Raw genomic sequence first — 14,279 nt, 5'->3', positions numbered from 1 at the left:
AGAATCCCTCTCACCCATGGTGTAGCTTTGGCTGCGTCTGTGACCCCAGGGAAGCCCTCCTCCAAAGCCAGGCTGGCACAATGCCAAGGCACCAGCATAGCTGCTTCCCGTCGGTTCCAATGCCCCCACCTGTTATATTCAGTCACTACACCAGATCATAAAAAATAAATCTTTTAATTGCTTTGTAATTGGCACAGATGGTGTAATTCAAACTCACATTTTTATTTAATAGACTCTGAAATATCACACTGTAGCTCTCACTGAAATAATACAGGAATCATAATGTTTAAGTTTACAAAAGTACATTTGGCAGCATCATGATGTTTTGAAAGTTACCTGTAAAATCAAAGACTGGGGCTTCAAAAAATAAGAGAAAAAGCCATCTGGAAAATAAAAAACAAGCCATACTGAAGCCATTTGTCATGACTATTAGAGAATGGTGTTTTTGGGTTTTTTGAGGATCTTGCTACTTTATTAATGATCCAGAAGAGTTGCACAATTCTGGCTTGTAAATACAGTGGGGAAGCTGTAACTATGCCTGGAAAGTGCTCCTCAGGACAAGGAATGTCAAAGCCAGGCTTTGTTGAAACCATGTGCCTGAAAAGGCTTTGAAGGAATCTTTCGTTTCTTAGGAGTAATGAGATTCACTGGGTTTTGATTTAAAAAATCACCCTAAAGAGGATTATAGTGGAGGAGATAATCATTAAATTCTCATCACTGTAGGTCCCAGAGGAAAAACGCAAAGTCCTGTCTCTTCAGGATGATGTCAGAAAGGCCCAAGTCCTCCTTATGTTATCCTTTAATTTCAGGGATAAAACAGAGTGGCAGTGACACAAGCTCTCACTACCAAATTAATTTTTTTTTTAAGAGACAGGCTGTCTCTAAAAAAGTTGGGGGGTATTATCTGCATATTAAAAGGTTGCTTTAAGAAATGTGACAGCATCTATGAAGAACTTCCCAAGAGATCAAAGCCTTCATGGACTATTGGGATTTTTTTTTTTTTTTTAAGGCAGGAGTACAGTGGTGCAATCATAGCTCACTGCAGCCTCAAACTCCTGGGCTCAAGTGATTCTTCCATTCTTCCACCTCAGCCACCATGCCCAGTTAATTTTTAAATTTTTTTGTAGAGACGGGGGGTGGGGCTCCTGCTGTTGCTGAGGCTGGTCTTGAACTCCTAGGCTCAGGTGATCCTTCCGCCTCTGTCTCCCAAATTGCTGGGATTACAGGCATGAGTCACCATGCCTGGCCAGCAACAATTTGTGTTTTGAGAATTAACCTGAGCCATTTCCTGAAGCTACCTACACTGCCATTCCACAGTTGGGAATATCTTCACGTATCTACCGGCTAGGGAAGAATCTGGGGGCAGAAATCACCTTATTCCAGAGCAGCAATTTAGACGACGTAGTAGGAGTTTGTAGGGAGATGTTAACCATAAGGAATTTTCCTATTAAAATGAGATGAAAAAGGGGAATCCCTCTGACTTCCACGATTATAGGCATCAGTGACCAAATTTTAACCTGGAAAAGGCATTCATGGATCAGTTCATGCTCCTGGGCAGAATTCAATATTGAACATGATTCCTAGCTATTGATTTGGTATCTGTTCTGCAGAAATGTTTGAATTTCTCAAACTCAATCCAAAGCCATTGCCTGAAGCAAGCTTCCTATGTCAGAGACTAAGCACAGATGGTTTCCATCAACACACGTGATCATTAGTGCTCTCCACAGGTCACAGGAGAGCAGGACTGCGCTGGGACACAGGGAATATCGAAATGAAAATCTAGGTTAGTGCATAGTTAGTGCTCTCAGTATTCCCTGGCTCAGTGCTCCTGTGCCACCTCCAGCGGGGCCTTCACGTCTGCTGCGCACTTGTCCGGGGTGGGTTTCTTTGAGTAATCCCGCTCTCCAAAAATCGTGCTTCCTATTCGGACATTTGTAGATCCTACTTCAACCTGTGGGAAAAAAGAGAAGGTATCGAGGACCAGGTTTAAAATAATAAAATGGAGCCAGTGCTGAAGCTGTGCCCCCATTCTGGCTCTCAAGAGCCTTCTATGGACGGGGCGTGGTGGCTCACGCCTGTAATCCCAGCATTTTGGGAGGCCGAGGTGGGCAGATCACGAGATCAGGGGTTTGAGACCAGCCTGACCAACATGGAGAAACCCTGTCTCTATTAAAAATACAAAATTAGCCGGGCATAGTGGCACATGCCTGTAATCCCAGCTACTCGGGAGGCTGAAGCAGGAGAATTGCTTGAACCCAGGAGGTGGAGGTTGCGGTGAGCAGAGGTTGCGCCATTGCACTCCAGCCTGGGCAACAAGAGCGAAACTCCATCTCAAAAAAAACAAAAAAAAACAAAAACAGAGCCTTCTATGAATAATAACACAGCTGAAGATGGCTTCAGGATGATTGTTCTCCTCAGAGGTAAAATTGCCTCTGAGGGCATATATAGGAAACAAGTTGGGTTTCTCTGGATTTCCAGTGGTTGGAGAGTGTGGCTGGCACTCAGCTCGGAGGGGGTCAAGGACATTAGACGTCCAGTGTGAGACGCAGCCACACAGCACAGCCCACCTACCTCTCCAATGTGCCACGGTCAGGTAGATGAAAAAAATATCCTTATAATTATCTGATCAAATTCCATTTTACTTATCAATGCAATGTATTTTTGCACTGTTTTAAGAAATACAATTTTCCAGGAATGCAAGTTTATATTTTGATTTTTGAAACTTTATCAAGTTATTTGCTATTTCAGAAAATCATGTATTTGCGTTGCCAATCTAGCACACCTGTATCAGTTGATATTTACAGCTGTTGATGTACATATAAGATTGTTGGTGAATCTACACATAAGATTAAGCCTCGGACGGGTGCAGTGGCTCATGCCTGTAATCCCATCACTTTGGGAGGCCTAGGTGGGTGGATTACCTGAGGTCAGGAGTTCGAGACCAGCCTGGCCAATACGGTGAAACCCTGTCTTAACTAAAAATTCAAAAATTAGCTGGGCATTGTGGCAGGCGCCTGTAATCCCAGCTACTTGGGAGGCTGAAGCAGGAGAATCACTTGAACCTGGGAGGTGGAGGTTACAGTGAGCTGAGATCGCGCCACTGCACTCCGGCCTGGGCAATAGAGCGAGACTCAGTCTCCAAAAAAAAACAAACAAACATGAAGCCTTAGGCTGCTTCATCGTGATTTGCTGTGATACAGCCATGCCCACGCACTTACGTAATGAAATGCCTTTCCAAAAATTATAGCTTAATTTCTTATTTTCCTTTAGACTACACTTATGGAATTATGTTTATAATTTATGAAATTATAATTATAATTAATTTCTTATTTCCTTTAGATTACACTTACGGAATTATATTTTGTTTTAAAAGTTCAGATGTCAGGCTATAATTTCTATACATTTCTTTTCTTTCTTTTGTTTTTTTTTTTTTTTTTTTTTTTTTGAGATGGAGTCTCGCTCTGTTGCCAGCCAGGCTGGAGTGCAGTGGCGCGACCTCGGCTCACTGCAATCTCCGCCTCCTGGGTTCAAGCGATTCTCCTGCCTCAGCCTCCTGAGTAGCTGGGATTACAGGCGTGCGCCACCACGCCCAGCTAATTTTTGTATTTTTAGGAGAGACGGGGTTTCACCATGTTGGTCAGGCTGGTCTCGAACTCCTGACCTCGTGATCTGCCCGGCTCGGCCTCCCAAAGTGCTGGGATTACAGGCGTGCGCCACCGCACCTGGCTCTTTTCAAAAAAGAAAGGGCATGGGGAATGGGAGATGCTGGAATAGCTGACACTGGGTACCTTACTGCCATCCCAAGGCATTTCCAAGGCTTCTACAGCAAAGATCTGCTCTTGTGTCAGCCTCTCAGACCCCCTACCCCCACCCCTCGAGGCAGACAGGGCACTGGCAGGACACTCACCGCATGCTGGAAATCCGCGGACATGCCCATGCTCAGCTCAACCTGGTCAGCAGGGATGTTCAGCTTTTTACACAGCTCCTCCCGGAGGGACAATAACAGCTGACAGAAAGAGATGACACCTATTTTACTCCTGCCTTCTCTAACGATGCCCAAAAGTGTCTGAATCTGAACTTCTCTGACAACGGTTATGTATTCCTTATGATTTCAAGGCCTGCCAAAATTGCCAGACGTTACTGAAAGGGTTTTTTGCAAACTATCCCACTTTCGAGAAAACTATTAGTCACTGGAGAGGAAGAAATCTCATATTCTCTAAAGACTATGTTTTAGCCAAGTTCAAGTTGAGTTGAAAAAGGTTTGTGGGGCTTTGGAAACCTGTTCTTCCCTTTTCCTTCTGAGAAGAGTTCAAAAGAGGGCTAGAACACTCAACAGGCAGTGTCTGGGATGACTCTGCAATCCCCACTGCAGCCAGCCCTGCAATAGCACTCCAGCACCCTGCTTCTTTAGCACACGAGCAATCTCCCCGACCCCCCAGTACCTGGAAGTCTGGATTTGGTCCTTGACTAAGATCATGCCCAAAGCTTCCTATGGTCATCAGCCCCACAAACTCCAGGTTAGGACACTTGGCGTTTATGTGCTCCACGATGGCTATGGTCTCTGAAGGTGGAAGGCCATGTTTACCTTCAAGAAAAGAAACAGAAAACAGGTATACTGCAAGGGTAAATGGCCAGAGGAAGGCTCCATTTTCCTCCCTTCCTTACGACAGAAGAGGTGACCCCCAACAAGAGAACCTCTTGAAAGAGCCTCAAGTCCTAAAGAGTAACTTTATACTTGGGGTTTTCTATGTTGCTCTGCTTCTGGTCAGGTTCTAAATTTCTCAAGAAAAGAACTATCAGTTGGATTCTCTTTCCTCCATCTCAGGATTTCAGCTGAAAACAGCTAGGAGACATGGAAAAGAAAAAATCTTGCTTTTTTGGGATACCAGGAAGATTTGCATTGCCAAAATGCCAGATGAACCTGAGAATTACTTTTCTAAATCAAGAATTTTTATAGTTTTATTAATTTAATGGAGTTGCAAAAAATTTAGTATAAAGTACATGTTAAATATTTTTGGCTATATATTAGCAAAGTTTAACTGAACTTTCTAATTAACAACTGGAAGAGAAATCTGCAGCAAGCAATTATTTGTTATACAGTTATAAGAGCTATTGATATTGTCTTGCCCCCATTTATTAGGCGGAGATACTAGTAACATTTACTTCAGTCTTTAAATAGGGCATATTATAGCTAATTATCAAGAAATGATACAATAAAGACTTGACCTATAGTTGATTTCAGATTTCTATTGATAATTGGGATTTAAACCCAGGTAGTCTGACTCTAGGACGTTATCTAGAAAACAGATGCCTCTACTGTGTTCCTGCATACTAAGATTTGGTGAATACTGGTGCTTTGATGGTTGCAATCAAATGCCTGATCTGTATACATTTATTCTTAACGAATAGCTAACAACATGTGTAGGGTTCTGTGCTAACAATGTTGCCTGGATTATCATATTCAGTCCTAACCACACCCTCTGAAGTAAGCATTCTCATGATACCATTGCCAAAAAAGGAAACTGAAGTACAGAGAGATTAGGTAACTTATCCAAGGTTACAATACTGGAAAGTAGTGTAGCTGAAACCCAAGGTCTGTCTGATTTCAAAGCCCATGCTTCTATTCACACTATGTTACACTGTTAATCCAAGCCCCATAAAGATATTCATTGACTGGTGCTCACCATAATTTTTTATTTATTTATTTTTTTTTGAGATGGAGTCTAACTCTGTCGCCCAGGCTGGAGTGCAGTGGCGCGATCTCGGATCACTGCAATATTCACCTCCTGGGTTCGAGGGATCCTCCTGCCTCAGCATCCCGAGCAGCTGGGGCTATGGGTGCACACCATCATGCCTGGCTAATTTTTGTATGTATGGTAGAGATGAAGTTTCATCATGTTGGCTAGGCTGGTATCGAATTTCTGACCTCAGGTGATCCACCTGCCTCAGCCTTCCCAAGTGCTGGGATTACAGGTGTAAGCCACCGCACCTGGCCCACTCACAGTAATTATCTTCCATTCTCTCCCAATGCAACATCAAGTAATTTTTTTAAGATCTAAGAGTATTTATATAATCTTAGGTCTTAAAAATTTAAAATACTCCTTGTAGGAGTGATGGTGACCTTTGGGGGTTTCCAGATGAAAGACACAATCCCAGGCCGGGTGCAGTGGCTCATGTCTTTAATCTCAGCACTTTGGGAGGCTGAGGTGGGTGGATCACCTGAGGTCAAGAGTTCAAGACCAGCCTGACCAATATGGCGAAACTCCGTCTCTACTAAAAATACAAATATTAGCTGGGCGTGGTAGCGCGTGCCTGTAATCCCAGCTACTCGGGAGGCTGAGGCAGGAGAATCGCTTCAACCCAGGAGGCGGAGGTTGCAGTGAGCTGAGATCGTGCCACTGCACTCCAGCCTGGCGACAGAGTGAGGCTCTGTCTCAAAAAAAAAAAAAAAAAAGGCTGAGTGTGGTGGCTCACGCCTGTAATCCCAGCACTTTGGGAGGCCGAGATGGGTGGATCACTTGAGAGGTCATGAGCTCGAGAGCAGTCTGGCCAATATGGTGAAACCCCATCGCTATTACAAATACAAAAATTAGCCAGGCGTGGTGGTGCACGCCTGTAGTCCCAGCTACTTGGGAGGCTGAGGTGGGAGAATTGCTTCAACCCGGGAGGCGGAGGTTGCAGTGAGCCGAGATCGCACCATTGCACTCCAGCCTGGGCGACATAGCAAGACTCCATCTCAAAAAAAAAACAAAAATACAAAACGAAGTCACAATCCCCTTCTTGAACTCCCCATCCATTCTTCTTCCCCTAAAATTAAGATATAATGAACCATGATGTAGTAAAGAATGATACATAGACTGCTTTGCATGCCATTATGCTACCTAGATCACACATAAAACAGCCAACTTAGAGGCCTGTGATCCTGTGATTTGTTTCTATAACCTTATCCATCAGACACTTGGGCCCACCCATTCTCCCTAAGCTTCAACCATCCTAAAGGAAGAAAAATCTACAATTCAGGTCTGGTTACTTACTCTCTTCTCCGCTGGTGTTAATCTGGACCATAACCTTTAACCTTTCAGGAGAACCTTTTCTCTGCCAGGAACTGTTCACTTTGTCTGCCAACTTCACAGAATCCACTGTTTCCAGCATGAAGAGATTGGGGACAGCTGTAATGAGACAGAGGCAAAGTAGTATTCCTTATTTGCTCTATTGCAGCAAGTAACATGCAACAAATCTCTGACTTGTTAGAGGAAAAAATATGCCAGGAAAAGAAAAACACAGTTAAATCTCAGTTCCTCTGAGAAGACAAATGTGACAGTTTTACTAGATACAAATTCAAATGTCAGACCATCCCTGGCTAATCAGCAAAGGTAAATAAGGGAAAAGCTGACATACATGATCAGGCAGCATATACATCCATAAGCTTCAAGAAGCTGGTAACGGACAGATTCCTAGTAAAAGGCTTGATCTATGTCTCAGTTCAAACTGAGAGAAACAGGTCAGGATGACAATGAAGAAAGGATGACCAGTGGAAGCCAAGATGCTTCCCTAGCATATCACCACAATTCTTCAACTTTCTGGGATGAGGGTATTCTTATCCAACAAGGACATCACCATGACCCTAACACTGGCCAGGTGTGGTGGCTCACACGTGTAATACCAGGTGGGTGGATCACCTGAGGTCAGGAGTTTGACACCAGCCTGGCCAACATGGTGAAACCCCATCTCTACTAAAAAACTGCAGCAATCCACAGGACAGATTATCACAGTTTACATAACTATTCCTCGTTAATGGATATTAGATTGTTTCTTATTTTTTATTACAAAAACAAAGCTTGGATATAGAACTTGGTGCTATGTACAAGTATTTCAGATGGGCAGTTTGCAAATATTTTCTCCCATTCTGAGTTGTCTCTTCACTTTGTTGTTTCCTTTGCTCTGCAAGAGCTTGTTTTCTTTTGGAGACAGAGTCTCGCTCTGTCGCCCAGGCTAGAGTGCAGTGGCACAATCTTGGCTCACTGCAACCTCTGCCTCCTGGGTTCAAGCTATTCTTCTGCCTCAGCCTCCCAAGTAGCTGAGATTACAGGCACCCACCACTACACCTCACTAATTTTTGTATTGTTGGTAGAGATGGGGTTTTGCCATGTTGGCCAGGCTGTTCTTGAACTCCTTACCTCGTGATCTGCTGGCCTTGGCCTCCCAAAGTGCTGGGATTACAGGCGTGAGCCACTGTGCCCAGCCTGCAAGAGCTTTTTAACTTGATGTGATCCCATTTGTCCATTTTTGCTTTGGTTGCCTGTGCTTTTGGAGTATTTACTCAAGCAATCTTTGTCAAGGTCAGGTGCAGTGGCTCACACCTGTAATCCCCACACTTTGGGAGGCTGAGGAGGGCAGATCACTTGAGGCCAGGAGTTCAAGACCAGCCTGTCCAACACAGTGAAACCCTGTCTCTACCAAAAAATAAAAAAATTAGCCAGAGATGGCTAGGCATTGTGGCTCACGCCTGTAATCCCAGCACTTGGGGAGGCCGAGGTGGTCGAATCACTTGAGGCCAGGAGTTTGAGATCCATTTGGCCAACATGGTGAAACCCTGTCTCTATTAAAAATACAAAAAAAATTAGCCAGGCCTGGTGGCACATGCCTGTAATCCCAGCTACTCGGGAGGCTGAGGTAGGAGAATTCCTTCAATCTGGGAGGCAGAGGTTGCAGTGAGCCGGGATCACGCCACTGCACTCCAGCCTGGGTGACAGAGCAAGACTAGAAAGACTAAAAAAGAAAGAAATATACATATATGTATTTGGCTTCAAGTGATCCTCCCACCTTGGCCTCCCAAAGTGTTGGGATTACTGGTGTGAGTCACTGCATCTGGCCTCAAGAAGCCTTTATGGAAATGAATTGAGCTGTGAGGTTGAATGAGTATAACGGATCATCCAGAAGGGAAAATGGCACTAAAACAACAGTTCTGTTAGGTTTTCCTGCCCCTTCTATGCCTGCTGGCTCCTTCCCCGCTCCCTCCTCCCATCACCTTTACATATTTCTAACATGGCTAGGTGCAGTGGCTCACACCTGCGATCCCAGCACCTTGGGAGGCTGAGGTGGGCGGATCACCTGAGGTCAGGAATTGGAGACCAGCCTGGCCAACATGGTGAAACCCCGTCTTTACCAAAAATACAAAAATTAGCCAGCATGGTGGGGCGTGCCTGTAATCCCAGCTACTTGGGAGGCTGAGGCAGGAGAATCGCTTGAACCCAGGAGATGGAGGTTGCAGTGAGCCGAGATCATGCCACTGCATTCCAGTCTGGGTGCAGAGTGAGACCCTGTCTCAAAACAAACAAACAAACAAACAAAATTTGTCCAGACTAATGTCTTGGAGAGTTTCCCCAATGTTTTCTTTTAGTAGTTTCAGGTCTTGGATTTAGATTTAAGTCTTTAATCTATTTTGATTTGATTTTTGTACATGGTGAGAGATAGGAGTCTAGTTTTATTCTTCTGCATATGGATATCTAGTTTTCCCAGCAGCACTTATTGAAGAGATTGTCCTTTTCCCAATGTATGTTCTTGGCACCTCTGTTAAAAATAAATTCTCTGTAGATGTACAAATTTATTTCTGAGTTCTCTATTCTGTTCCATTGGTCTATGTGTCTGTTTTTATGCTAGTTTTGGTTACTATAGCTCTACAGTATAATTTGAAGTCAGGTAATGTGATTCCTCCAGCTTTGTTTTTTGCTCAGGATGGCTTTGGCTATTATGGGTCTTTTGTGGTTCCATATAAATTTCAGGACTGTGTTTTTCTATTTCTGTGAAGAATGTCACTAGTATTCTGATAGGGACTGCACTGGATCTGTAGATTGCTTTGGGCAATAAGGACATTTTGACAATACTGATTTTTCCAATTCATGAGCATGGAATATCTTTCCATTTTTTCATGTCCTCTTCAAATTCTTGCATCAGTGTTTTACAGTTTTCATTGCAGAAATCTTTCACTTCTTTGGTGAAGTTTATTCTTAGGTATTTCATTTGTAGCTATTGTAAATGGGATTACTTTCCTGATTTCTTTTCCAGATCATTCACTGTTGGCATATAGAAATGCTACTGATTTTTGTATATTTATTTTGTATCCTGCAATGTTACTGAAGTTGTTTTTCAGTTATAATAGTTTTTTGGTGGAATCTTTATGTTTTTCCAAGACTCTACGGTTTTAGAATCTCCTGGTAAGACGAAGGAGTACTCATTTACTCACTCCCTCAAAACACTGGATCTTAGCAGTCTTTTTGATTTTTTACAAATCTGATTAGTGATTTTGTATTTCTCTGAGGATGAATATTTTTCATTTGATTACTGGCCTTTTGTATTTTTACCCCTTATAAATTGCCCCAGTTTTTGCCTATTTTTTTTCCCTATAAACAAAAAGATTTGTAGCTCTTTATGTATTCTGGATATGAATCTCTTCCCTCTTCAAAAATATTATTTTTCTTCCACTCTGTGCCTCCCTTTTGCTTTGACATGCAGAAAGCTTTAATTTTTGTGTGATCAAATCTGCTAGTTGTTCTTTTAAAATTTATTATTATTAATATTATTATTATTATTAGATAGGGTCTCCTCTGTCATCCAGGCTGGAGTGCAGTGGCACAATCACAGCTCACTGCAGGCTTAACCTTTTGGACTCAGGTGATCGTCCTACCTCAGCCTCCCAGGTAGCTGGGACCACAGACACACACCACTACGCCCAGCTAATTTTTTGTATTTTTAGTGGAGACAGGGTTTTGCCATGTTACCCAGGCTGGTCTTAAACTCTTGGGCTCAAGTGATCCACCTGCCTTGGCCTCCCAAAGTGCTAGATTTACAGGTGTGAGCCACTGTGCCTGGCCTAGTTGTTTTTTTTATGGTTTCCAGATTTTATGTCTTGCTTAGAAAAGCCCAAGAAAATAAAAATATTTTCCTGCATTTTATTCTAATACTTTTATAGCTTTTATTTTCAAGTTAGATTATTTAATCTAGCTGGAATTTACAACTCAATAATGAAAAGACAACTCAATTTAAAAAACATGCAGAGGACTGACTAGACATTTTTCCAAAGAAGACATAAAAATGGCCAATAAGCCCATGAAGAGATGCTCAACATCATTCGTTATTAATGAAAATCAAAACCGCCGGGCGTGGTGGCTCACGCCTGTAATCCCAGCACTTTGGGAGGCCAAGGCAGGCGGATCATGAGGTCTGGAGTTTGAGACCAGCCTAGCCAAGATGGTGAAACCGCATCTCTACTAAAAATACAAAAACATTAGCTGGGCGTGGTGGTGGGCGCCTGTAGTCCCAGCTACTCGGGAGGCTGAGGCAGAAGAATTGCTTGAACCTGGGAAGCGGAGGTTGCAGAAAGCTGAGATCGCACCACTGCACTCCAGCCCGGGCAACAGAGTGAGAATCCGTCTCAAAAAAAAAAAAAAAAAAAAAAAAAGAAAATCAAAACTGTAAGGAGATACCATTTCACATTTTTTGAGTCCAATATATCTCCTTTGTTGACTTATAAGCTATAACTCTTTATTGTGTTATTTTATTGGTTGCTTTGGGGTTTAACTTACAACAGTCCACCTTCAAGGTGTGTTACACTACTTCACACAGTTTAAGAACTTTACAATAGTGTACTTCTGTTTATCCCCTTCTGTTATTGTTGTCATGCATTTTGCTTTTACATAGTTATAAATCCCATAACACAGTTATTTTGTTTATATGACATATAATAAGATTAATAGAGACCCAGCCTTCAAGTAGGATTTATCCTAGGAGTGCAGGGTTGGTTTAACATTTGAAAATCAATAGGCCGGGCATGGTGGCTCATGCCTGCAATCCTAGCACTTTCGGAGGCTGAGGCGGGTGGATCACAAGGTCAGGAGTTCGAGACCAGCCTGGCCAATATGATGAAACCTTGTCTCTACTAAAAACGTAAAAAATTAGCCAGGTGTGGTGGCATGTGCCTGTAATCCTAGCTACTCGGAAGGCTGAGGCAGGAGAATCGCTTGAACTCGGGCGGTGGAGGTTGCAGTGAGCCGGGATCACGCCACTGCACTCCAGCTTGGGCGACAGAGCGAGACTCCATCTCAAAAAAAAAAAAAAAAAAAAAAAAGTAAATAAAAGATCAAGACAGTAAATTTTATGTTTGTTTTATTGCAGTTATAAAAAGTTAAACATAACACTTAACTTGTGATTCAGCCATTCTATTCCTATATATTTATTCCAAGAAAAAGGGAAATATATCCATACAAAGGCTCGTACACAAATATTCATAGCAACTTATTTGCAACAGTCAAAAATCAGAAGCAACCCAACATTCATCAACAGGTGAATGGATAAACAAATTGTAATATACTTATACAATGGAATACTACTGAATGATAAAAAGAATTGAACCTTTGATACAGGTATGAACATGATGAATCACTACACTGAATGAAAGAAGTCAGACAAAAAAGAGTACATACTTCATGATTCCCTTTGGATAAAACTCTAAAAAATGTAAACTCACGTACATTAACAGTGACAAAAGCAGGTAAGTGGTTCTTGAGGAAGAGAAGTGGGACAGGTAAGAGAGGGATTACCAAGGGACAGGAGGAAACTTTTAGGGGTGATAGATATGCTCACTGTTTGTTGTGATGGTTTCACAGGTGCAAACATACATCAAAACTCGTCGAATTCTATACTTTAAATATGTGCAATGTATTGTAAGTCACTTACCTCCCTAATAAAGCTGTTACAAAATATATACAGGTTATTTAAATTTTTATACCTTAAGGGAAATAAGTTCAGTTACTCAAGATCTCCATGTCTTTCTTAATTTTATTTTACTATGATTCTTGTTTTTTTTTTTTTTTTTTTTTTTGGGATGAAGTCTTGCTCTGTTACCTAGTCTGGAGTGCAGTGGCGTGATCTTGGATCACTGCAACCTCTGCCTCCCGGGTTCATGCGATTCTCCTGCGTCAGCCTCCTGTGTAGCTGGGACTTGACAGGCATGCACCACCACGCTCAGCTATTTTTTTGCATTTTTAATAGAGTTGGGGTTTCACCATGTTGGCCAGGCTGGTCTTGAACTCCTGACCTCAGGTGATCCGCCTGCCTCGGCCTCCCATGGTGCTGGGATTATAGGTGTCAGCCACCGCGCCTGGCCTACTTTACTATAATTCTTAATTTTACTTTACTATACTTACTTTACTGTATTGTATTTTATTTACTGTAGCCTTTTATTTAAAGGAAAAAGAACAGAAATGTCTCTTTTGCTAGTTAAAAAAATTTATGGGCTACAATTCTTTATAATTTTTCTGAAAGACCACCAAATAATAATAAACATGAGGTTGGGTAGGTTTCCAAGTATATATAACCCAGAAAATGGTGAATTCATTCTGTTCTTGGCATGATGTTTTCTCTTTTTATTAAGAACTCAGACTTTCCTAAAGAAATTCCAAAAACAAATGGTGAATTGGGGCTATTCTAAAAGTTGCTCTCTCTTCCACAAAGGGTAGTAGAAGCAATACAATGACAGAACAATTTTGTTTTCATATTTAATTTTATCTTACCCATCAATTTGTTGACATTTTGTTTCTGTAGGTGGCCAATGAAGTGCCATTTGATCTCAGGACACAAAGACAGAATCTGAGGGGAAAAAGGTAACCATGTGTAATTCAGATTTTATAGAGGCCTTGCTGGCTCAAACGCCTCGTGCACTCCCTGTCACCTTTCACATCCACTCTCTGTTCCTTAAATGTAATAAACTATCACAATCTTCACCCGGCCTCCTAATGAGGTAAAAGGATAGAGAAAAATCTAAGGCTTCTGTTCTGTTTTCCTTCCTTGTTCCCATCAATTCCCTCCATCTTTCAGATATTGCCCATCTAGGATGAACTGATTTAAGCTTTCAAATCTTGAAAAGATCCAAGATTACAGCAAGCTCCTGAAACCACCATTTCCAAACAGCCACCAATGAGAAAACGACAGTCTGAACAAAGAGAAAAATCTAGCTGAGAATTACTTGGGGCTCAAGGAGGAAGCTGACATTTCTATCCCTGGCCCAATCTAAAGTCAACCACCCTAAAACTGCTGTACAACTCAACCACCAGGATGGGTCTAATTTTCAACTAAAGAGCCAAGATTTAGATACAAATTAAAGAATTCAGCTATCTACTTACTTTGGGATTTGATGCTTTTTCTAGCAGTTCCTGAACCTAAAAGGTCAAAACAGAACAAGTCAGAAGCCTGGCAATCATGATGCTTCCAAAGGGCTTCAGGAA

General features: G+C 42.1%; 1 protein-coding gene across 5 annotated transcripts in view; it reads right to left on the bottom strand.

Annotated features, from left to right (window-relative positions):
• PLPBP (pyridoxal phosphate binding protein) overlaps window positions 156–14,279 on the bottom strand; it is a 17,223-nt gene continuing 3,099 nt past the window's right edge. For 2 of the 5 annotated variants that reach the window (NM_007198.4, NM_001349348.2), the window contains exons 3-8: window positions 14,178–14,213; window positions 13,569–13,644; window positions 7,035–7,169; window positions 4,443–4,585; window positions 3,908–4,006; window positions 156–1,951 (exon numbers count right to left, since the gene is read on the bottom strand). In NM_007198.4, the coding sequence (NP_009129.1) occupies window positions 1,820–1,951; window positions 3,908–4,006; window positions 4,443–4,585; window positions 7,035–7,169; window positions 13,569–13,644; window positions 14,178–14,213 (621 nt within the window). In that variant the 3' untranslated portion in view covers window positions 156–1,819. Of the gene's footprint in view, window positions 1,952–3,907; window positions 4,007–4,442; window positions 4,616–7,034; window positions 7,170–12,145; window positions 13,443–13,568; window positions 13,645–14,177; window positions 14,214–14,279 lie in introns of those variants that run through there. The other 3 variants (NM_001349346.2, NM_001349347.2, NM_001349349.1) reach the window with 3 other exon arrangements.

Source organism: Homo sapiens, chromosome 8 (genome assembly GCF_000001405.40).
Source record: "Homo sapiens chromosome 8, GRCh38.p14 Primary Assembly".
Lineage (NCBI taxonomy): Eukaryota > Metazoa > Chordata > Mammalia > Primates > Hominidae > Homo > Homo sapiens.
The sequence above is the reverse complement of the archived record's forward strand: the minus strand, read 5'-3'. Positions and strand labels throughout refer to the sequence as shown.